General features: G+C 42.0%; 1 long non-coding RNA gene across 6 annotated transcripts in view, besides 1 other annotated feature; it reads left to right on the top strand.

Annotated features, from left to right (window-relative positions):
* Nucleotides 1128-1328: a silencer, noted in NCBI's record as "peak2399 fragment used in MPRA reporter construct". NCBI's record gives its function as "represses an SCP1 promoter by STARR-seq MPRAs in K562 erythroleukemia cells {active_cell/tissue: K562}" and the evidence as "EXISTENCE:reporter gene assay evidence [ECO:0000049][PMID:32103011]".
* The window catches only part of LINC01418 (long intergenic non-protein coding RNA 1418), a 107448-nt gene continuing 86172 nt past the window's right edge, over nucleotides 2888-24163 (top strand). For 2 of the 6 annotated variants that reach the window (XR_001751640.2, XR_932527.3), the window contains exons 1-3: nucleotides 2888-3014; nucleotides 15613-15693; nucleotides 16575-16779. This is a non-coding gene — a long non-coding RNA (long intergenic non-protein coding RNA 1418). The remainder of the gene's footprint in view (nucleotides 3015-15612; nucleotides 15694-16574; nucleotides 16780-24163) is intronic. The other 4 variants (XR_001751639.2, XR_932528.3, XR_001751642.2 and 1 more) reach the window with 2 other exon arrangements.

Genomic DNA, 24163 nt, shown 5'->3' with positions numbered 1-24163 from the left:
GTATCTCTGCCCATTTATCTAGTTTTTACACACATGGTACTATATTACACATACTATATCAACTTGTTTTTTTCCTTTATTATACATATTTTGATGATCACGTCAAAACACCTCCTTCTCTCTCATTTTAAAAAATAACAGCTTTATTTAGAAGTTATTCACATGCCATAAAGTTCACCCTTTCAATGTGATCAATTCAGGGTTTTAAAAAATATATTTACAGAGTGTGCAGACGATCACCAGTATCTAATTCCAGAATATTTTCATCACCCCCAAAAGAAGGCTCATACCCATGAAAAACCACTCCCAGTCATCCCTCCCCTCAGTCTCTGGCAACCATTAAAATACTTTCTGTTTCTATACATTTGCCTGTTCTGGGCATTTCTTATTAATGGGATCATATGATCTGTGGCCTTTTGTTTCTGGCTTCTTTAAAACACTAGCATAATATTTTGAAGGTTCATTCATGTTGTAGCATGTATCAGTACTTCATTTCTTTCTATGGCTGAGTAATATTTCATGGTAGGAATATAACATTTTGTTTATCAGTTCATCATGTGATGAAGATTTTGGTTGTTTCTACTTTTTGGCTATCATGAATAATGTTGCTGTGAATATTTATGTACAAAGTTTTGGTAGGACATATGTTTTTATTTCTCTTGGATATTGCTATGGTTTGAATGTTTTTGTTCCCCCAAAATTTGTATGTTGAAATCTAATCACAAATGTTGGTATTTGGAGGTGGGGCTTTTGAAAGATGATTAAGTCTCGAGCACAGAGTCCTCATGAATGGGATTACTACCCTTATAAAAGAGGTCCCACAAAGTTGCCTTGTCCTTTCTACTGTGCAAGATTATGGCACAAAGACAAACATCTATGAAGCAGAAAATGGGGCCTCACTAGACACCAAATTTGCCAGAGCCTTGATCTTGAACTCCCCAGTCTCCAGCAGTGTGAGAAAATAAATTTCTGTTATTTATAAGCTACCCAGTTTAAGACATTTTATTATAGCAGCCTGAAAGAATTAAGACAGATATCTTAAGAGCGAAATTGCTAGATCTAATTATAATTCTATATTTAGCGTTTTTGAGGTTTTACCAAGCTGTTGGGCAAGTGGCTGCACCATTTTAAAATGTCCACCAGCAGTGTAGGAGGGTTCTAATTTCTCTACATCCTCACCAACAGATGTTATTGTCCATCTTCTGATTTTAGCCATTCTAGTAGGTGAGAAGTGGTATCTCATTGTGGTTTTGGCTTGCAGTCCCCTAAAGACTAATGATGTGGAACTTTTTTTTTTTCATGTGCTTATGGGACATTTGTGTATCTTCTTTCAAAGAAGTAGCTATTCAAATCTTAGATCATTTCCTCATTTTAAAAGTTGGGCTAATTGTCCTTTTATTGTTTAGTTGTAAGAGTTCTTTATATATTCTTGATAGAAGTCCTTTAGCAGATATTTACAAATGTTTGCAAATATTTTCTCCCATTCTGTGGGTTACCTTTTCACTTTTGTGGTGATGCCTTATGAAGCACAAAATTTTTTAACTTTGTTCAAGTCAGTTTAACTTTTTTTGTCTCTTATGCTTTTCGTATTATATCTAATAAGTAATTCCCTAATCCAAGATCAGAAAGATTTCCTCCTACGTTTTCCTCTAAAAGCTTTGTAGTTTTGGCCCTTACATTTACATCTTTGATCCACTTAGAGTTAATTTTTTTTTGTAAAGTAGAGATCCATCTTTATTTATTTTTATGTGGATAGTCAGTTGTACTGGCACCATTTGTCAAAAAGACTATTCTTTTCTTACTGAAATGTGTTAGCACCCTTGTTAAAAATCAGTTGATCATGAAGTAGGGGATTATATCTGGACTCTCAATTTAATTTCACTGTTTTATATTTCTGTCTTTAAGCCAGTACCATACTGTCTTGATTACTGTGGCCCTGTGGTAAGTATCAACATCAGGAACTATGAGTCCTCTAACATTGTTCATCTTTTTTCTAAGACTGTTTTTGGCAATTGTGGGTTTTTCACATGTCCAGATGAATTTTAGGGTTGGCTTTTCAATTTCAGCGAGAAAGGCAGCTGGGATTTTGATAGTTATTTTTCAAAAACTGCTATGTGGTGCTTCATTGCTTGGATCATTTTCTTTTAGTAAACGTATTTCATCAAATCATTTGCTGCTATACAGATAGACTTCAACTTTGTTCTGTCACTATATTTTATGTTAATTCTGTTTTTAGTGCTTAATTTTTTTTTTTTTTTTTTTTTTTTGAGACGGAGTCTGGCCCTGTCGCCCAGGCTGGAGTGCAATGGTGCGATCTTGGCTCACTGCAAGCTCCACCTCCTGGATTCAAGCGATTCTCCTGCCTCAGCCTCCTGAGTAGCTAGGACTACAGGTACCTGCCACCATGCCCAGCTAATTTTTGTATTTTTAGTAGAGACGGGGTTTCACCATTTGGGCCAGGATGGTTTTGATCTCTTGACCTCGTGATCCGCCCACCTCGGCCTCCCAAAGTGCTGGGATTCCAGGCGTGAGCCACCTTGCCTGGCCAAAATTTTTTTTCCATGTAATCTCTGTGGGTGAAATTTTTGTTGTACTGTTCTCCTTCTGTGTTTGTATTTTTCCTCAATATTGAAATCAGTGTATTTCCTCTGCTTTCCATTTAGTTTTTGGATTACTTATATATATTTTTAACATGCACTTTTATAGCCTTACATCTACTTATAACTTTATTACCACTATTTCTTAATTTTCTAGCTTATAAATATGAGAAAATTACTATATTATGTAACTCCCTGTCTTTTTTATGTCTCTCAATCTTATTGTTTAATCATTTTTTATGTTGTCAGGAGAGTGTATACCATTTATTTTATTTTATCTTATTTTTTTAAGAGAGGAGGTTCTTAGTCTGTTGCCCAGGATGGAATGCAGTAGTGTGATTACACCTAACTTCAGCCTGAAACTCCTGGGGTCAAGTTATCCCCCGACCTCATCATCCCAAGTAATGGGGACTACAGGTATGCACAACCACACCTGGCTAGTTAAAAAAAATTTTTTTTCTTTTTGAGATAGGGGTCTTGCTATATTGCCTAGGCTGATCTTGAACCTCTGGTCTCAAGTGATCTTCCTGCCTCGGCTTCCAGAGCAGCTGGAATTACAGGAGCGAGCCACTGTGCTGGACTCCCACTCCCATTTACATTTGTTTATGTAGTCTTTATCTCTATGTTTACTTTAGTTGTAGCCAAACAGTTAAGTGGATTAAATGTTCAGTGTCTGTTATTTCAGTGTAGTTTCTCCGTTTATCATTGATTAAGTGAGTTTTCTCTTGTTGTAGTTTCTTCAGAAAAGTCTCATGGGAAATATATTTATCTATAGGTTTTATATGTGAATGACAGTTTGGCTGAGTTTAAAACTCTTGAGTCATATTTTATTCCTCAAAAATCTTTGTAGGCATTTTTCTAGTGGGGCACTTCTTAGGTTGAAGCAGACAAATCTGAAATCACTTGATTTTTTTTTTTTTTTTGAGATGGAGTCTTGCTCTGTCGCCCAGGCTGGAGTGCAGTGGTGCGATCTCAGTTCACTGCAATCTCCGCCTCCTGGGTTCAAGCACTGCTCCTGCCTCAGCCTCCCAAGTAGCTGGGATTACAGGCAACTGCCACCACACCCAGCTAATTTTTGTATCTGTTTTATTTATTTATTTATTTATTTTCAGATGGAGTCTCGCTCTGTCGCCCAGGTTGGAGTGCAGTAGCATGATCTCGGCTCACTGCAAGCTCCGCCTCCTGGGTTCACGCCATTCTCCTGGCTCAGTCTCCGGAGTAGCTGGGACTACAGGCGCCCACCACCATGCTTGGCTAATTTTTTGTATTTTTAGTACAGATGGGGCTTCACTGTGTTAGCCAGGGTGGTCTTGATCTCCTGACCTCATGATCCACCTGCCTCGGCCTCCCAAAGTGCTGGGATTACAGGTGTGAGCCACCGCAATATAACCCTTTTTAATAATGATTTATCCGTTTTACTTCTTTCCTGAGTTCTACCAGTTAATATATCATTTCCTTATAATGTCATAGCTTTTCTAGCTCTTTGTTTTTGCCTTGTGCTCTTGTTTGTTAGTTGTAATTGTTTCCAGTTTTAAAAATTCATGGCAGTATGTTGATTATAATTTTCATCTGCTTTCATGTTTTCTAATGAGAGTTCTTTGTCATTTATTCTTCCAGATTCTTTACCCATTTTTTTTTCTTATGACACTTTTGTGTAATCTTTTCTTACAAAAAATTCCTACTCAGTTTCAAATATGAAAAGTTTCTCCTGGACTAGCTGTTTTTAGGAAGTTTCAGTGGGGGATATTAGGACTGTGTGTGTGTGTTTTTTTTTTTTTTTTGAGACAGAGTGTTGCTCTGTCGCCCAGGCTGGAGTGCAGTGGCACAATCTTGGCTCACTGCAAGCTCTTCCTCCTGGGTTCACACCATTCTCCCGCCTCAGACTCCCGAGTAGCTGGGACTATAGGCGTTTGCCACCACGCCCACCTAATTTTTTGTGTTTTTAGTAGTCACAGGGTTTCACCATGTTAGCCAGTATGGTCTCGATCTCCTGAACTCGTGATCTGCCCACCTCAGCCTCCCAAAGTGCTGGGATTACAGGCGTGACCCACCGCCCCCAGTCCAGGACTGTCTTTCAGGCCAGCAGGAATTGTCCCTGGTTTCTCATTACTCAGGGTTTTGTACACGTGGGTGAATTGTTTTAGGATTCAAACTACTACCTATTCAACATGTGTCCAGAGTTGGTTCCTTCTGGTGGGTTCATGGTCTCACTGACTTCAAGAATGAAGCCGCGGACCTTCGCAGTGAGTGTTACAGCTCTTAAAGGTGGCACACACCAAAAGAGTGAGCAGCAACAAGATTTATTGTGAAGAGCAAAAGAACAAAGCTTCCGTAGCATGGAAAGGGACCCCAGCAGGTTGCCCTGCCGGCTGGGTTGGCCAGCTTTTATTCTCTTATTAGTCCCCGCCCATGTCCTGTTGATTGGTCCATTTTACAGAGTGCTGATTGGTCCATTTTACAGAGTGCTGATTGGTCCATTTTACAAACCTCTAGCTAGCCACAGAGCGCTGATTGGTGCATTTTTACAGAGCACTGATTGGTGCATTTTACAATCCTCTTGTAAGACAGAAAAGTTCTCCAAGTCCCTACCCGACCCAGAAGTCCAGCTGGCTTCACCTCTCAAACAAAGCTTGGCAGAAATAAGGCTGCTTGTAATGGAGGTTGTTATTCCTCAACAATGAATTGTTTCCTGCAAATGTAATGTATGTGTGTGTGTGTTTGTGTGTGTCCAAATTCTGGATTGCACATTTATATTTACTCTTTCTTTGTTGTTTTTGGGTGATTTCAAAGACATCAAAGGAGCAGGACTATCATTACTCTGCCATTAAAAATTGGATATCTAGAATAGTTATTTACGTCACTATCTTTTCTCTCTAACTTACAGGCTAGAGGGTTGAGATCATATTTAATGCACGCTAATCTTCTGCTTTCCACATAGTACCCTTACTAATAAATGTTTGTTTTATATTTACTTAAATACAGATTACTTATGGAGGTAAATAAGTAACTTTTGTAGATGACTCCTTCAGTGTTACTTGGGAGAATTGTTTTTTTTTTTGTTTTTGTTTTTTTGTTTAGACAGAATCTCACTCTGTCGTCCAGGCTGGACTGCGGTAGTGCAACCTTGGCTCACTGCAGCCTCCACCTCCTGGGTTCAAGTGATTCTCTTGCCTCAGCCTCCCTAGTAGCTGGGACTACAGGTGTGTGCCACCATGCCCAGCTAATTTTTGTATTTTTAGTAGAGACAGGGTTTCACCATATTGGTCAGGCTGGTCTTGAACTCCTGACCTTGTGATCTGCCCACCTCGGCCTCCCAAAGTGCTGGGATTACAGGCCTGAGCCGCTGCGCCCGGCCACTTGGGAGAACTGTTAATCATCTTTAAATAAGTAAACTTTTGCTGTCACTTCACTTCATCATGCTACATAGAGCTGTTCGCCAAGAAACAGCTTGACTGTAAATCAGTTCTTGGAATTTGGGACTAATACTTGAAATGAGTATTTGTTTTCTATCTCACAGTATCCTAATGTATCTATTTCTTAATTGGCAGGTGTCGGGACATCGTGTTGAACCTTAGTTTTAGCTGCCTCTGAGGAGGGCCACCTATCTCTCAGTATACTCTTAGGGCACTCAAAGTAAATTCCAGGTTCTTCATGTACTATCATACAGTTGGCTGTCATACAGTTGGCTCTTCCAAATATTCTCCTTAAATTTGTTAAAAGTCTGTCCAGTTTGGTGCTGTAACAAAGATTTAGACATAAGTAAATTTTATTTTGGTTATATAGATCAATACTGGGAATACCAATATAGTTAGAAAACACTGAAATAAAGATGATTGTGGGGATCATCTGCTGAACGGAGAGGGCCTCCCTAGTGACCACATTCAAATGAAAGCATTCATTTCTAAGCTTGGTTTTCAGTCGAGGAGCTCTTGACACTTGTTGGAGACGTGGTTCCTAGCACTCAATAAGTGTTTGTTGAATTAATGATTGAATGGTGCCGTACAGTAGATCAAGTTGTCTGGAAGGACTTTCACCCACCAAACTTACAAGATACTCATGTGCAAATCAGAAGGCAAATCTTTATTAATGAAAACTCAGAGGCAGAAATAATTCAACTCATGCTTCCATGAAATCATTAAAATAATCTTATAGCATCCTACAATATTACAGCTGAAAGGACTTTGGAAGACATCCATTTTAAAATAAAAAGTGTATTGCTTGGAAAACTGAGTCCCATAGTGGGGAAAGGACTTGCCCAAAGACCAGTTTGTAAGCTGATGCTTACAAACCTGTTTGCCAATCTACAAATTTGTACGAGCCCTAAACAAAATATGGTTACCACCTGTATCTCTCTTCCTTCCTGTTAGATAAAATCCCTCATTTGCTTTCTGGATATGAACACTTTTAAACAGGTTTCTAAAATGGTACATTTGGAATTAACCTTTATATAAAAGGGGGTTGAATTTCTATAAATCTCCAACTTGGCCTCCTCGTCAACCCATGTTCACCCACCACCTGATAAAGAAACACCAAGTACGCCATCCATGAGCATTGCATCTCTCCTGCATTTTAAATGCCAGATCTAAAATAAACCCCAAAGTCTTATTTGAAAGTGAATTTATGGAACTCACACATTTGAAGCTCAGCATTACTGTGAAACTTACAGGTCCTGCCCCTCACTGGTGGAAATTCACATGTATTCCAACTAACTTATTCCAGGTCTGTGTCTCTTAACTGGGGCTTTTTGTCATTAAGTATTCACAACTTCATCTTTATTCATGTCAGCCAAGCTTTTTATTGCCCTGCCATTGCTTTTATTAACAGCAAAGTGGATGTGTTTATTTACACTTGGGAAATGAACTGAAGTTTCCTGGTGGTGTGGGTCTCATTCCAAGTTACCCAATGTACTTATCTTAATTAGACTCAACATAGATCTGAAGTTTGCTTTTCTTCCCTTTCAGAGGTAATTTCTGGAAAGTGTACAAATAGAATTCAGCAAGAAGATGAAGCTCAACTTGTGGTGCTTATAGTTTATTGATTTTTTTAAAAAAGAAAATGTGTTTTGATGATTGAAGATAGATGATATGCTGCAGCCCTGAATAGTAGTATATAAACCAATTCTACTCAGCAACATTTTATGATAAAGACAAATTAATAATTTTGATAATTAAGTAACATGGCTTCTTCCATGTTAGTTTAAAGTCTATAGAGTGGCAACTATATGGCTACAGTGAATAAAAGGGGTGGAACATTTAATTGCTATTTTAAAATGCAGCAAAACACTAGTAGTACCTGGTGTGGAAACAATGCCAAATGAACTTTAAAAGCCATGCTTATTTTTTATATACATTTTCTAATTTCAAACCTCCCTTTTATAACCTATGGGAAATGCTCTATGTAATGAATTCAAATACTATAATAGAAATAACTGAAACATTAATAAGCAAACAGGAATTCTAAAGGTAAAGGCAACATTATATCTCCATCTTTTTGAAAAAATACCATTTGGAGAAACTAAGTAAGCAAAGAGATTTCTCTAGGGTCACGCAGCTAATGTATGACAAAGTTGTACCTGGAAACACATTTGTAGACATCGTGTTAGTGCTCTTCACACTGTCTCCTGCGGTGATCAGAACTGGTTTTTTTTTTCCTCCAGTTTTATTCATTGCTATCATGAGCCTGTTAGCCAGCCTCTTTTTAGGTTTATAGGAATCACTTGTCTTCCAGTGCTTAACACCCACACTGCATACTAAAGACATGGCTAAGTGTGCAAAGAAGAAAAAAGATCATCTTTCAGATGAATGTGGAGGACAAAAATGGGCAGTAGGCTGGGCTTCTCACTGTCCCTCTTCATTTCATATCTATCCATCCATCCATCTATCCATCCAACAGACATCAATGGGTGCCAGTTATTCTCCAGGTCTCGTGCTGGTTAAAGGAGGATGCAGTGGTAAACAAAACAGACATGGTTGGTGGCTTCAAGGCACTTCTAACCAGTGAGGGAGACAGAGAGCAATCCAATAGTGAAACGATGCTTGTAAAATTATTAAATGAGATTAGCACCATGAAGAAAAGAACACACACACCATTTGGGGGCAAAGGAACTTTGCTGAAAAAATGAATTTGGTCTGAGGTCTGAAGAACAGGTAGGTGTTAACTAGGTAGAGAGCTGGTAAAGAACATTCTAGGCAGAGGGAAGAGCAGGGGTAGAAGAAGAAGAAGGATTGCAAGAAGCAAAGAAGATTTCAATCATGGAACTGAAAGAACAGTGTGGCTGCAGCCTAGAGAACAAGAAAGAAAGACAGTGTTTACATGTCATGCTGGAGAGTTGGAGGGGGATGGCAGCAGACCCTCAGAATCTGTGTGGCTTATCATTAGGAGTTTGTTTTTATTTAATAAGCAAGGGGGAAGACATTAAGGGCATAAGTGATCAGATTCACATTTTGAAAGAGTCATTGTGCCTCCCATGTGTTAGACATAGACAAGAGGGAATATAGGAAGATGGATAGGCCATTGCAGGCATCTCAGCAAGAAGCACTGGAAGCTGAAATAGGGAGGTAGCCACACAGATTGAGAGAACAGAGAGAATCAACATCTATTTGGAAGCAAAAATAAACAGAACTTGGTGAGGAATTAGGGTGTTAGCAAGGGCAAGTGTCAATGATGCCTCCCTGGTTTCTGGCTTGACAACTGTATTAGTCTGTCTTCACGCTGCTAATAAAGACATACCTGAGACTGGGTAATTTGTAAAGAAAAAGAGGTTTAATGGACTCAGAGTTCCACATGGCTGGGGAGGCCTCATAATCATGGCAGAAGAGGAAGGAAGAGCAAAGGGACATCTTACATGGTGGCAGGCCAGAGAGAGCATGTGCACAGAAACTCGCCTTTATACCATCAGATCTCATGAGACTTATTCATTATCACGATAATAGCACAGGAAAGGCCTGCCCCCATGATTCAATTACCTCCAACTGGATCCCTCCCACAACACATAGGAATTATGGGAGCTACAATTCAAGATGAGATTGGGATGGGGACACAGCCAAACCATATCAACAACTATGCAGACTGTGAACCCACTGCTTACTAACAGAGTGCCTCAGGAAAATCACCTGACCTCTTGTCATTTCTTTATTTGTAATATAAAGCGAATAAAGTGCGACCCCTCAGAGTTTCTGCACAAAGTAAGAGACTTATAGAAGTCACGTGTAATATGTGTAGGTGCTTGGCATATGGTAAACAGAGAGTGTATATTTGTTATCATTATTATTATTTTTGGTATTTACTGAGGGGAGGAATATTGGCAGAGAACCAAGTTTGAAGGGTTGATAACATGTTCAGTTTTAGACACACTGAATATGAATCCTCTTGGAGATGCTCAAGTGGAGATTTAAAGTGTACAATTAGGGCACTTTTGAGTTCTAAGTGCTCTGACATTTTGGATGGTAATGGAGCCGTGTGCATTGAGACTGCCCAGGGAAGAGACACAGGGTAATAAAATGAAAGCTTAGGATGGAGTCCTTGAAGGAAAATAAAATGGGTATGTAGAGGAATGGGAGCCTGCAATGTGGTAGGAAAGGCCCAGCCAGAGGATTAGGATTAGGGCAACTACTTAAGGCAGTGCCACACCATGGAAGCCAAGGGGGAGGGATGACTGTTTAAGATGAGGGGGTGTCACTGGCACTGAAGGCTGATGAGAAGCTTTGTCTGATGAGGGCTCAATAATATCTGTGAGGGCAGGGGCGGTGGTTCACACCTGTAATCTCAGCACTTTGGGAGGCTGACATGGGAAGATCACTTGAGCCCAGGAGTTTGAGACCAGCCTGGGCAACATCGTAAAACCCCTTTTCTACAAAAAATAAAACAATTAGCTGGGTGTGGTGGCATGTGCCTGTAGTCCCAGTTACTCAGGAGGCTGGGGTGGGAGGATAGCTTGAGCCCAGGAGTCTGAGGCTGTAGTGAACTGTGATTGTGCCACTGCACTCCAGCCTGGGTGACAGAGTGAGAACCTGTCCACAAAAATTTAAAAAATCAAAAAAGGTAATGTCTGTGGTGTTTATTGACATGAGTCATCAGTGTCGGAATGACGGGCTCACAAACATCTCTAGGATTTGAGAGTAAAGGGAAGAGGAGAAAGTGGAGAAAATGTTTGTTTTGATGGAGAAGAGAGATAGCTCATTCTTGTGATAGAAGAATACGTGGTCCCTGGCTCAGCTCCTTCCAGTTATTTTTACACTAATGGTGTGCTCTTATGTCTTATGAGTGACATTGTGTTATGGCTAAAGAATTCTAATGAGTAGTCCTCTTTTCCTGGCCTAGGAGTATAGGAGATTTATAACAAAGGTAACCAGAGAGAGCTCACTGGTTTTGAATCCACAGGGATTTGTTGGAACCCCATAACTTCCTGATAAGTGTAGGTCTCCGTGAGAGTCTTGCAAGTCCCATTCTTCTACCCCTAGCGATCTGCCTTCTGTGCTGTCCCTCACATAGGTTGCAGGGCCCCACAAGATGAAAAGGCACATTTTCTTATGGGGGCTTGGCACAAACACTACTGCTTAGGTAATATTCGCCCAGATATTGTGTTCTTAGAACTATGGAATCCCAGGATTGAGATTCTATTGAGTTAGTGAGTTTTGTATATATAACCTAACTATAACTGGGGCCCCATGTGGCCCCAACTTTGTATAGTATCAATAAAAAGAATTAAAAGTCCCTCAGAAAAAGATAATTAAAAACACCTCCAGTTTTTACTTAGTCTCTCGAAAAGTCTCCAAGGGGTGGTTTGGAGGAAGGAGGGGGAGATTCTTAGTGCATGGCAACACTTCTTAGAAATTCTCTTTTCCATGTCTCCTTCTCTAAGTGTCCTTCATGTGGACTGCAGCTGTTCCCATAACACAATGCTCAGCTCAATAGGAGTGAGATTTTCCTTGAGATCCTATCTCTACTCTTGCTCTCATCCCATTTACTTCCCTGAACAGTCCTCTGTTCAATGCAGATATACGTGCTATTCATGACCTCCAGCTGCCAAAAGCCCCTTGTGAAATGTAGTTTTTCTCTCCCATTTGAAGTGCTCTTCTCTCAGTAATTTACATTTTTTACTCCACTCCTCAGGTTCCAGTGAATGAAATGTTTATCTTTTGTTACCTTTGCAAAGATATATAAAGTGGGTTCCTGTTTAGGGAAACATTCAGCCTATTATCTTAAAGACCAGGTCTCCTATACTACCCACAGCAGTCTTGGGAATATTTATGGCAGCATCTCATTTGTTGGGAAGAATATCTGGGGTAAAGAAGGAAGGAAAGAACAAAGATTTTATTCATGTATTGCTGCTGTGCATTTGTGGGCCAAAGCAAGCCTGTAGCCAAAGTTGGATTCAGGCTTCTGGGTGTTGATCGATTACAAGGTTGTTGTAGAGATTACAGGGAATGAGGAAGGGAGTCTCATAATGGGCCTAATGGGCACCAGCAGCTGGAATTCTGCATGAAATGTCATGACATCTGTCCTACAGTGCAGGTGGCCCTTGTTGAGGTGCATCTGACAGGGCCTTGCTGCCATTCATGGCCCTGTTGCCAAGTGAAGACAGACACTGCTGCAGGCTCCGCCTTATCTCCCAGATAACCTGGCATGCAGGAAAGCCTTAAGGCTCTTCTCTTTCTGGCTCAGGTTGGTGTCTCTAGAGGTGGCTGTGCACAGAGGTCATTCCTGAAAGCGTATTTTTCCTCTCCCTTGACTAATCAAGGATCGAATTCCCTAGTCTACCTCTTTGGTGCAGTGAAGGACTGGTTCAAGGTCATTCCGGATTTACTGTTCTTGGGGCAAACTATTATGTACCAAGCACTGTTCTAAGCTCTTCAACTTTTTTAATTCATGTTAACAAGACTATAAGTCTTGTTAAATTTGAGACTCAAATTTTATTGATGGGAAAAACTGAGGCACAGAGATGTTAAGTAGTTAGCTCAAGATCACTCAGCTGTATAGTAAATTGCAGAGCCAGCATTTGAACCTAGGTGCTCTCTCTCCAATATATATGCTGTTTACACTACCCTCCATTGCTTTTCAAAGGAAAGCCTTCTTTTTTAAAAAAATTTTAGGCCGGGCGTGGTGGCTAATGCCTGTAATCCCAGCACTCTGGGAGGCTGAGGCGGGCAGATCACCTGATGTCAAGAGTTCGAGCCCAGCCTGACCAACACGGTGAAACCCCGTCTCTACTAAAAATACAAAAATTAGCCAGATGTGGTGGTGCATGCCTGTAATCCCAGCTACTCAGGAAGCTGAGGCAGGAGAATCGATTGAACCCGGGAGGCGGAGGTTGCAGTGAGCTGAGATTGTGCTACTGCGCTCCAGCCAGTGTAATAGAGTGAGACTCCATCTCAAAAGAAAAAAAAAAAAAAACAAAAAACTAGAGATGAGGTCTCACTATGATGCCCAGGCTGGTCTCGAACACCTGGGCTCAAGCGATCTTCCTGCCTCGGCCTCTCAAATTGTTGGGATTACAGGCTTGAGCCACTGAACCCTGCTGGAAAGCCTTTCTTCAACATCAGGTAAGGCATAAACAATCAAGATGAAGAACACTTATAAAATGGGCATAGTGGGACCTGTCTCATGAGGATGAGACAGGATTAGGTGCTATCATCGATGTAAAGCACTTTACATGGCCCTTGGCATGTTGTCATTGTTCAATGGCAATGATAGATTAAAAACAAAAACTGGGGCCCACCAGAATTAATGGACTTGTCCAAAGTCACAGAAAGCTGGTACCCTGGATTGGTCTAGTGGACACTTAAGCCATTACTCCTCCACACAGAATGTTTAAATAAAGCCATTCAGCAAAATGCCACAAAATCTCTACGCTTGGTTCTCAAGTTGTAAGAACAAATTGTAGCAGGCCCCACAGTGCCTGTAATTATTGTGGTCACCAACGACAAACATGCTGTTTGGTTTTGTCGGAGCAAACAGACAGCAGAGGCATACTTGGGTTCTTTTTAATATGTAAGAATTTTCTAGGACTTAATGCCACCAGGATGCCAGAAGAGTTAATGGCAGATGTGGTTGTGGAAACGTTCTGTATTTTTAGACAACCTTTAATTAAAACACTTTGTATGTCTCAGGGACCAAATCATATGCTGCCACTTGAAGGCTGTCAGAAGGGGAAAAAGTATACAAAGCTTCTAAAAGCAGCTTTGCTTATTTTTATCTGAGATGGAGTGAGAGAGCCTTTGCAGGGACAAAGCCATCTCTTGCTACAAAATTATATGAATTTAATACATGGGTCAAATGTGCAAATTGTTCAACACATTCTGTTTAACTGCAACAGTCAATGAAATCTGGGAGGTCAGTCTGAGGACAGTGAACTTAGTCTGGGCCTCCCTACAGGCTCATGACCTGTAAGACCTTCTTAATAAGGTTGATACAATTGCTTATTGGCTTTGAGCACCCAAACATAAAGTGAGTTGCAAGACTGCTTGAATACTGAGTCATAGATTGTTGGAGTTGAAAGTGATCATAAATGGGTCTAAAGGGTCTGACTGGCTGTTTGGAAGCAACTGTGTTAGAATGTAAAAGTCGTGTTTTTATTGCCAAGTTATGCACACAACAAAATTCCCTGCTACCAAACTATTCCTGCTCCCTCACCCTTTCTGTGGTGGTTTTAAAATACATACAATTTCTTTGATACTCTTCCTTCAAGGGGTGGAGTCTAATTCCCCTCCTTATGAATGTGGGCTGGACCTAGTGACTCATTTCTAATGGATAGAAAAAAGTGCTAATAATGGCATGCAATTTCTTAGACGAGGTCATAAAAGGCATTAAGACTTCTTTTGTGCTTTTTCTTTTGAATCACTTGCTCTGGGAGTAGTCAGCTTTTATGTCATAAGGACACTCAAGAAGCCCTATGAGAAGGCCTGTGTGACAGGGAGCAGAGGCCTCTGTCCGAGGACCAGTGAATAACTGAGGCCTCCTGCTAACAAGGCGCCAGAGAGTTTGAGAACCCCGTTAGGCCTTTAGATACCTGAACTCCTGCTGACATCTTGGCTGTAACCTCAAAAGGGAGCCAGACCCACTTTTTTTTTTTTTTTTTTGAGACAGAATCTCGCTGTGTCACCCAGGCTGGAGTCCAGTGGTACAATCTCGGCTCACTGCAACCTCTGCCACCCTGGTTCAAATGATTCTCCTGCCTCAGCCTCCTGAGTAGCTGGGACTACAGGCGTGAGCCACCACGTCCGGCTAATTTTTTTGTATTTGTAGTAGAGATGGGGTTTCGCCACGCTGGCCAGGCTAGTCTCGAACTTCTGACCTCAAGTGATTCACTTGCCTTGGCCTCCCAAAGTGCTAGGATTACAGGAGGGAGCCACTGTGCCCGGCCCAGAGCCACTTCTTAATTCCTGACCCACAGAACCTGTGACAACAACCATGCATGTTTGTTGTTTTAAGTCACTAAGTTTTGGGGGTAATTTTAAACTCAGCAATAGGTAGCCAATGTGCATCCCTAGCTTCCAGCCCTTCCCTCACTTTTACCTGCCATTTTTTTTTTTAACTCCTGTTTGCTCATCATTTCTTCAATGAACTTCATCACATCCCTCGGCCTCAGCCACACTTTAGGAAATAATGCTGATGATGGGTGTAGGGCAGTGGTAAGGGTCTTCATTTCTCACAGCCTTTGGTAACAATTTTTTGGTAAGCTGCAAGTTTGAAATGTATTTTTAGAGATTTTTCACAATATATCCTTGGCGACAACAAAGTCTCCTGCTTCTCTCTTAATGTTACTGGGATAAGTAGGACGAACACTGTGCCCAGAGCATCATAGGAGCTTGAAAGATTTTAGTTCTTTTTTCTCCTAGATGACTTTGCAGTTCAGCCTGGCCGCCTTTTTACAGTGCCATGATGTTTATGGGCAGCTTGTCCCTGTTTTGGCGATACCAACCTGACCATTCTGCACCTGAACTACAAAGTGGGTCCCCAGAAATGTCCTGCTGATGCTTATCCAGAGTTCTAAAACACTTGTTTTTCTCTTCCCCAGAGTTTAGGATGCTTCAAGGGAAAGATGAACCGGGGAACCGCCACCGTGACTATTTCTCATCTACATATCCACCCCCCGAAGGTAGATATGTGGCATGTAAATCAAACGCTGACATATGGGGAGGGCTTTTCCATGACATTGGCCATATGTTTCTTTGGAAATATTTTGATCTCAAGACAAAATGTAGTCACCTTGTAGAAAGAGGGAAAACTATTTATTCAGAAAAGGCACACAAAGAAAATCAAGAATTTTTTGGACAATATATGAATAATATTTAAAGCAAGTAGCAAAGGATCTCAGAATGTTTTAATTTTTTGCAAGATAATTTAAATTAGCAAAAATAGTGGCACTTGAACTGAATCAAGTGCTGGGGTTTGAAGTAAACAATGTGTGTAGCCGATTTCCTCCAGGAACAGGATAACGTGCATTTATCTTTGGTGTTGGTTTGGATCCATCATTCTTGGCATTTAATAGAAGTATATATATTTTTAAAAAATGGGCCAGGTGTGGTGGCTCATGCCTGTAATCCCAGCACTTTGGGAGGCCGAGGCAGGCAGATCATGAGGTCAGGAGATCGAGACCATCTTGGCTAACATGGTGAAACCCTGTCTCTACTAAAAATACAAAAAATTAGCCAGGCATGGTGGTGGGCGCCTGTAGTCTCAGCTACTCGGGAGGCTGAGGCAGGAGAATAGTGTGAACCCGGGAGGTGGGGCTTGCAGTGAGCCGAGATGGTGCCACTGCACTCCAGGCTGGGCGTGAGACTCCGTCTCAAAAAAAAAAAAAATTAACTGGTTGAACTTCAGTGAAAAAGGGATGTCAGAAGTAGGAATTTGAAATGTAGTAATAAAAAGTAACTAGAGGGGGAAATATAGTGAAAGAATCTAAAAGGTTTTATTTTAAATTACGAATTTAGTTCATTGAATTTGGCTTCAAAAATTGATTTCTTTCTTTTGACTTAGTTCTTAAGGTGGAGCGGAATTCATTTTATTTGCAAATGTGGAAGGCATTATAAAAACCGTGAATGATGCCCCCTCCCATGAGGGATACAGGGAGAGCCACGTGAAGAGGATGTTGGGCTTCTTCAAGCTGGCAGGGCACTGAGCTGACTGTCCACCACACTCACCAGGGGCCTTTGTGCATCCCGTGGGGCAGCTCTGGGAAAGGGTAAGCTTTGGAAATGATGGGCATGCGGGGGATTCCCAGACATGTGGTATGTGTTGGAGGAGGGGCCGTTCCGAAGGGAGAGTGACTAAATTTTACACTCATGTGGGCATTAATATTGTAATTCAGGACACTGTTGTGGGCCCATTCTCTCCATGCCAAACTACAAATAAGGGTGCTCCAATGATACAGAGTACAGACACCTGGCCCAATCCCCTGGAGGTTATGGTTGGGCCTGGCAGGGGTGGGAATTTCAGCACTTGCAGAGCTCCATGGATCATTCTAACGCAGCATCACGACTAGAAACGACCCTGATGGAGGGCAGTGGAAATTCACAGCAGGAGAGCCAGCTCAGAGATGGCACTGGAGAGGCCTCCAGCACTGTGTGGCTTTAGCACTGGCACGTGATAGAGGTGGAGCCCGTGAGCATGTGGAAATGGGAGAAAGGGAAGGATTAGTGATTCCATTAAGGACTCACTTTCTAGGTTCAGGAGTAGAGCTAGGAGTTGCTCTTTTCCCTGTACACCAGTGGGTCCCTTGAGAGAATGCAGATTCACAAGGTGGAGGTGTGGATATAAGAAAAGCTTGATGCTGCCTTCTGTCTCCCCAGGTCTGATGGGGAAGAAAAAGGATTTTGGGGTGTTCCCACAGCCCCTGTCCCCTAGCAAACCAGCTCTTTCTCATCCAGTCAGAGGAGAGGTGATACCTTCCCTATTGGATCTTGGTGGGTGCCAGAGGAGTGGTGTGCCTCAGGCTGTAGCCTCAGGCTGTCCCAGAGGGAGAACCACTGGGCCCCCTGATTTACAGAGTAAGTGGGTGCAGTCCTAACTCTTATTGACACGGGCCAGGTATGGTGAAGCTTGGTTGCCAGGATATAAGTGATGCACCTGTTCTTTCTGAATATATAACTGAAAGCCAACTTACCTACTTATATTTCAAACAAAGCATTGAGGACTAAATTTGAAGTAATGTATCATACTTAGCCAGCTTTATATTTAAGACCTATAGACATGACTACATGACTACTAAAAAGAGCAGAATCTTGGCTCATTTGAGCTCTAACAAGCTGGCATTTGCTTGGAGAGTGTTAGGGCTTCGGGAGGGGATCCTCCTGGGGATGTCTCATCAAGATATTAGGCAATTTTTCATATGTGGGCACTAAAAAAGCTAAACTTATAGAAATAGAGAGTAGAATAGTAGTTGCCAGAGACTGAGAAGAGTATGGAGGAGGGGAGACAGGGAGAGGTTGGTTAATGGGTATAAAATTACAGTTAGATATGAGGAATAAATTCCCACGCTCTGTGGGGCGGGCTGCAGTTAACAGCAATTTATTGTGTACTTCAAAATCGATAGAAGAGAGGATTTTTGAATGTTCCCAACACAAAGAAGTGATAAATATTTGATGTGATAGATATCTCAGTTACCATGGTTTGATCATTACACGTCGTTTATGTGTACTGAAATATCACATGTACCCCATTAAAAAATAGACATCAGGAAATCTGGTGGAAAAAAAAAGAGCATATGCAAAAGCATGGGGCTAGACCTCGTTGGGGGAGATGAAGGCAGAAAGTGGGTCTTTGATAATTTGGCTGGAGTTTAGAGTGTATCACAGGATGGTAGGAGAAAGATGGTAAAACAGGAACGGTGGTGTGAGGTTGCAGAGGGTTTTGAGAACTAGGCTAAGGAGTCTGGATGTGATCTTCGAGGCCTTTGGAAATGACTAAAGCCTTCTGGACAGGGATGTGATGTTACCTCCCAAAAAGCAATCCAGGGCAGAGAGGCTGGAGGTGAAGGCATTGGGAGTGAGTGTGGTCCCTGTGTGGGATCTAAGAACCAGCGTGGGAGAGTGGCGGTGAGAATTGGGAGGGTGAGACTGTTGGCTATGTTAGCCCATCAGTTGTACAGGAAAAGGGAATCAAAAACGACTCTCAAGTTTACTGGCTTGGGTGACAGGGCCAATGGGTGTGTCATCAACAGAAACAAAGGAAACAGGAGTGAAAGAAGGTTTTGGGGTGGGAGGGTTCAGCTTTGGATATGCTGAGCCTGAGACACTGGCAAGGCATGGGGGTGGAGGTGCTTAGAAGGCCAGGACCAGGAAGAGGAAAGGCCTGACAATGTGGATGCAGGATTCATTTACATGCAAGCGATGGACGGAGCCAAGTGATTGGTGGGCGTTGCAAAGACGGTGGAGTGAGAGAATGAACATCAACAGTGGATTAGGCAACCTGTCAGGCACTGCACATTATCTCAATCTTCAAAACAGCTTTATGAGATAGGCCTCATTATCCTCGTTTTATAGATAAGCAAACAGAGGCTCCAGCCTCTGCTGTTACACAGGCAGGAAGCAGCAGTGCTGATATTCAAGTCTGGGTCGGTATGACTCCAACAATCTTCTTTTTCCACCCCCAGCATTCCTTAAACTAAAAATAGCTTTGAAACCAAAAAAAACTAGGAAGGAAAAAAACTCCAAATAAAGGACAACCTTTTTGAATTGAGTATATTCAGCTACATTGTTCTTATATTTGCATTTTGGAAAGCCATCCTGAACACATAGACCAAGGGACTGTCAGAGGACTAATGTATTAAAAAGACCGTAAACTCTGAAGCTGTTCTGATGCTTATGATTTTAATTCTGACTCTACCACTTACTGGCCATTTTATTATTTATTTATTTATTTTTATTTTTATTTTTGCATTTTTAGTAGAGATGGGGTTTCACCATGTTGGCCAAGCTGGTGTCGAACTCCTGACCTCAAGTGATCCACCCACCTCGGCCACCCAACGTGCTGGGATTACAGGCGTGAGGCACCACGCCTGGCCTGGACGTTTTAATTAAACTGTCTGAATCTTAGTTTTCTCCTAAAAATGGTGGTCCCAATGATTGTCTTGCAGGGTTCTGTGTGTAACAGGTAGTTTCTGTAGATGAAGCATGTAACACAGTAGCTGATATATATTAGATGCTCAATACATGTCAGTGTCTTCTTTTTTGCCTTCTCAATAGCAGGTGGTTCATAAGCCAATTTGTTCCTTCTTTATTTAAATGACACTCACCCTTTGGGCCCTAGGGAAGTTAAGGTTAGTGATAGGAGTGAAAGCTGATTATTATAGAAAAAGAGGTTGGTGTTACTGATGTGGCAAGTAGAATGATGGCCCCCTAAAGATGTCTGTGTACTAATCTCCAGAATCTGTTAATGTGTTAGGTTAAATGGCAAGAGGAATTAAGGTGGCAGATGGAATTAAGGTTGCTAATCAGCGGACTTTACGATAGGGAAATTCTCATGGATTATTTGGGTGGCCCCAGTGGAATTGCAAGAGTCCACAGAATTGGAAAAAACCTCGAGAGAGAGAGAAGCAGAGCGATGACAAGTGGGAGAAGGGCTCACCCTGGCATTGCTGGGAGAAGGGCTTACCCTGGCATTGCTGGAAGAAGGAAGAAGAGCCAAGGAAATGAGCAGCCTCTCATTTTCCAGCTTCTGCTGAAAAAGGCAAGGAAACCTATTCTCCCCCAGAGAAGGAACACAGCCCTGCCCACAAGTTAATATGAGCACAGCAAGACCCATTTCAGATTTCTGACCTACAGAACTGAAAGAGAACAAATTTGTGTTGCTTTAAGTCACCACATTTGTGAGAATTTGTTATAGAAGCAATAGAAAACTAGTATAATCAAGATGCTAAAAGGGACTAAAATAATAATGTTGCCCAACCCATTTGTTACATAAATGAGGACTCTGAAGCCCAGAGGGGTGAAAGTGCCCAGCGTAGACACTCAGGAAAGAATAAGCATAGTTTGGGGAAGGATGTGCTTAACTGGTCTGCCCCACTGGCCAGCAATGGCTCTGCCTGTTATTTGGGTTCTACTAGTTCAGAAGAGGTACGGTTCTCACAGTACCCTAGGGCCTCCTTAACAAAGGACAACTAGAGGAAGAGCATATATGAACCCATTTTATTCTAAGAGAACTCTGTACCATTCCTTAAGAGGTCAACTGAGGATAATTATCTTCAATAAGTTTCTTTTTTTTTTTTGAGAAGGAGTCCCACTCTGTCACTCAGGCTGGAGTGCAGTGGCGCTATCTCGGCTCACTGCAACCTCCACCTCCCAGGTTCAAGGGAGTTTCCTGCTTCAGCTTCCCAAGTAGCTGGGATTACAGGTGCACGCCACCACGCCTGGCTAATTTTTTTGTGTTTTTAGTAGAGACAGGGTTTCACCATGTTGGCCAGGCTGGTCTCAAACTCCTGACCTCAGGTGATCTGCCCGCCTCGGCCTCTCAAAGTGTTTGGATTACAGGCGTGAGTCACCGCGCCCGACCTATCTTCAGTAAGTTTCACTTCCTGCACTGGTGGGTCTGATGTTACCAGCTAAGAACTTCACTAGGGAACTGTGGGCAAGTTTAACTAGGTGTGGCTAAGGGAAATGGCTCTCTCTCTTGGGCCTTTTGGTTTCCCATCCTTTTGAATCATTCTGGTTCCGATTCATTCGTGCATTCTCTTTAACACATTACCCACTGCCACGTGCCACAGTGGCCTGTTTGAGAATGGGCTCTCCCTTGTACCTGCATGCTAAAACCAGTTTTCGGTCTTTTTATTTGAGATAGTTCAAATTTCATTTCATTTACCAAGCCCTTACCAGCTATATAACTGTTATCTATTTTGTTCCATATATGCTACTTCTAGATCTGTGTACACCTGAACTTTAAAGAATCTTGGGATGCTCTTCTGCTTCTTCAACCACTGCTATGCAAACCACTTGCCCTAGCTGTGCCTTCCCTGGGGGAGGCTTATCTCCTTGATCATTGTCCCTCCTGCTAGGTGCACAGGGCTCTGCTTCAACTTGCAGCAACAGTGATAAGGGGATTCCGGAGCTTGAGAACTACCTGAAAACTTGTCCGTGGCTTGGACCAAAGTCTTCAGGCAATGCCACTACTTCCTTTTTTTTTTTTCTTTTTTTTCTTTTTTTGAGACGGAGTCTCGCTCTGTCTCCCAGGCTGGAGGGCAGTGGCGCAATCGTGGCTCACTGCAACCTCTGCCTCCCCAGGTTCAAGTGATTCTCCTGCCTCGGCCTCCTGAGTAGCGGGGATTACAGGTGCCTGCCACCGTGCCCAGCTAATTTTTGTATTTTTTTAGTAAAGACAGAGTTTTGCCACGTTGGCCAGGCTGGTCTCAAACTCCTGACCTCAGGTGATCCACCGGCCTTGGCCTCCCAAAGTGCTGGGATTACAGGCGTGAGCTGCCATGCCTGGCCAGTGCCTCTATTTTCTAAGCTGTTCTATGAGCTGTCCACCTTGGCTTCATCTACCTGGGCCTCTGTTGTGCCAGAAACAGCTCAATAGCCACCACATGCGTCCTACAAAAGGACTTGCTTAAGCTTTTACAGAAAATTGATTTCTAAGGCCCCTTCAAGGTCCAAAATGCCTCACTTTATTTGACAGCTATCCCGTTATCTCACTTACCACCTGCTTTCTAACAGGGAGGCTGACATTGTTCTGTAAAGTGGAGGTGAAGAAGGATATTTCAAACTTCCTGAAGGAGGTTTCCAGCTTCCTGAGGCCATGGATGCAGAGGCTGCCTGCTTGGTGGTAGAACTCATCGCCTGAGAATTGTTTTGACTGTGACATTATGAAAACATTGGTGCTTCTTAATGTTTTCACAATCACTGGATTCCAAGCAGTAAAATTTTCACCAAGAATGTCACAATACCTCCTGCCAACAAAAGCCCAAATAGTAAAAAAAAAAAAAAAAAAAAAAAAAAAAAAAAAAAAAAAAGGAGGAAGTGAAGTAATTTAATCAGATATCAGAGGAATGGAGAATTTTTATTATATATCATTCTAATAACTGAAACAATACACTATTAGAATGTGAATTTTAAAAGCAGCAAGCCAAAAACCTAAAGAGTTTTCTACTCACTCTCCTTTCTTCCCTGTGTTAATATTACATGGTTTTGATTTAAATTGATTTTTGTTCTAAAGATGCCATATATTTTTTCCATCGTTCATTTTTGTCCCTGTATTTTCCTTGGGTGCATAGGTACTTTCAGATTAAGCTTCAATGGCTCAATATGAGAGGAAGAGAGAGCGAATGAGGCATTCAGACTACCCTGATGTTGAGAATTTGGGCGATGATTCTGTGTTAGTGTTACCGGTGAAGGGTGTCCAGGTTCTTGGTGTTTGAACAAAGAAATGGACAAAACGCATAAAAAAAGCAAAGAAAGAACGAAGCAACAAAAGCAGAGATTTATTGAAAATGGAGTACACTCCACAGTGTGGGAGCGGCCTGAGCAGTGCTGCAAGGGCCCCAGTTACAGAATCTTTTCAGGTCCAAATACCCCCTAGAGGTTTCCCATTGGCCACTTGGTGTTCAACTACTATAAATGAAGTGGTGGCCTGCACTTTAAGTGAAGTTACAAAGGTGAAGTTTCAAAGGTCACAATCCTATGCAAACGTCTGATTGGTTGTGGAAAGCAACCAATCAGAGGCTAAACTGAAGTTATTAAGTTGCGCTTCTATGCAAATGAAGGCTTGGCCTGCAATCAGAGGCTGAAATGAAGTTACAAAGTTACACTCCTATGCAAACGTCTTACTGGTTGCAAATTCAACCAATCAGAGGAACTTTCAATTTCCCATCTGCCCTGCAGAAAAGGTGGGCTTTTGCAAAGGGAGTAGTCTCTGGTCCTTTTGTTACTTAGGTGTGGAAAGGTAGGGTTTTCCTGTCAACTTAGTTCTAGGAATTCAGCATGAAATGGCCTTAGGTTCCCTGCCTCCGGACCTATTTTCCTGCCTCCTAAGGGCTGATGTTAGTTCACTACCTTTAGAAATAGATTTTACCCCTTTACTTTTCTTCCCTCCCTTCACTGCTGGGCACCAAAGCAACTGAACTGCAGTGCTGGTTTGGGGGCAGGGAGTCCAGTTTACCTGTGGCTCACTCTCACCCCAGGGACTTTCTTTATCATGGCATAATGTGGGGTTAAGAGCTCTATCAGACTCCTAACTTTGAGGTGACCTTTGGCTTTTACTTCTATCCCTTGGTTCTTGGCCTGGGAAGCCATCAAAAGAATAGTTGTTTCCCTGCAAGAACAAATGGCTAGCAGGGCTGGATTGTCTCCCTGGGCTCTGGTCTTCTTAGTTTTGCCTTGTTAATTATGGGAGGAAGACTTCCTACGTCTAAGTGTAGAAGTGGGATGTCATTGTAAATAAAAAGAAGAAAAAGCGTTAGATAAGATACGATATTAGCTGCTATGGTTTGAATGGTGTCTCCCCTAAAAGACAGCGAAGTCCTAACCACGAGTACCTATGAATGCGACCTTATATGGAAATACGGTCTTTGCAGATGATGATCATGTTAAGATGAGGTCATTAGAGTGGGTCCTGATTCAATATAACTAGTGGCCTTA

Source organism: Homo sapiens, chromosome 15, assembly GCF_000001405.40.
Source record: "Homo sapiens chromosome 15, GRCh38.p14 Primary Assembly".
NCBI classification, from domain to species: domain Eukaryota; kingdom Metazoa; phylum Chordata; class Mammalia; order Primates; family Hominidae; genus Homo; species Homo sapiens.
This window is presented reverse-complemented; position numbering and strand designations above follow the sequence as displayed.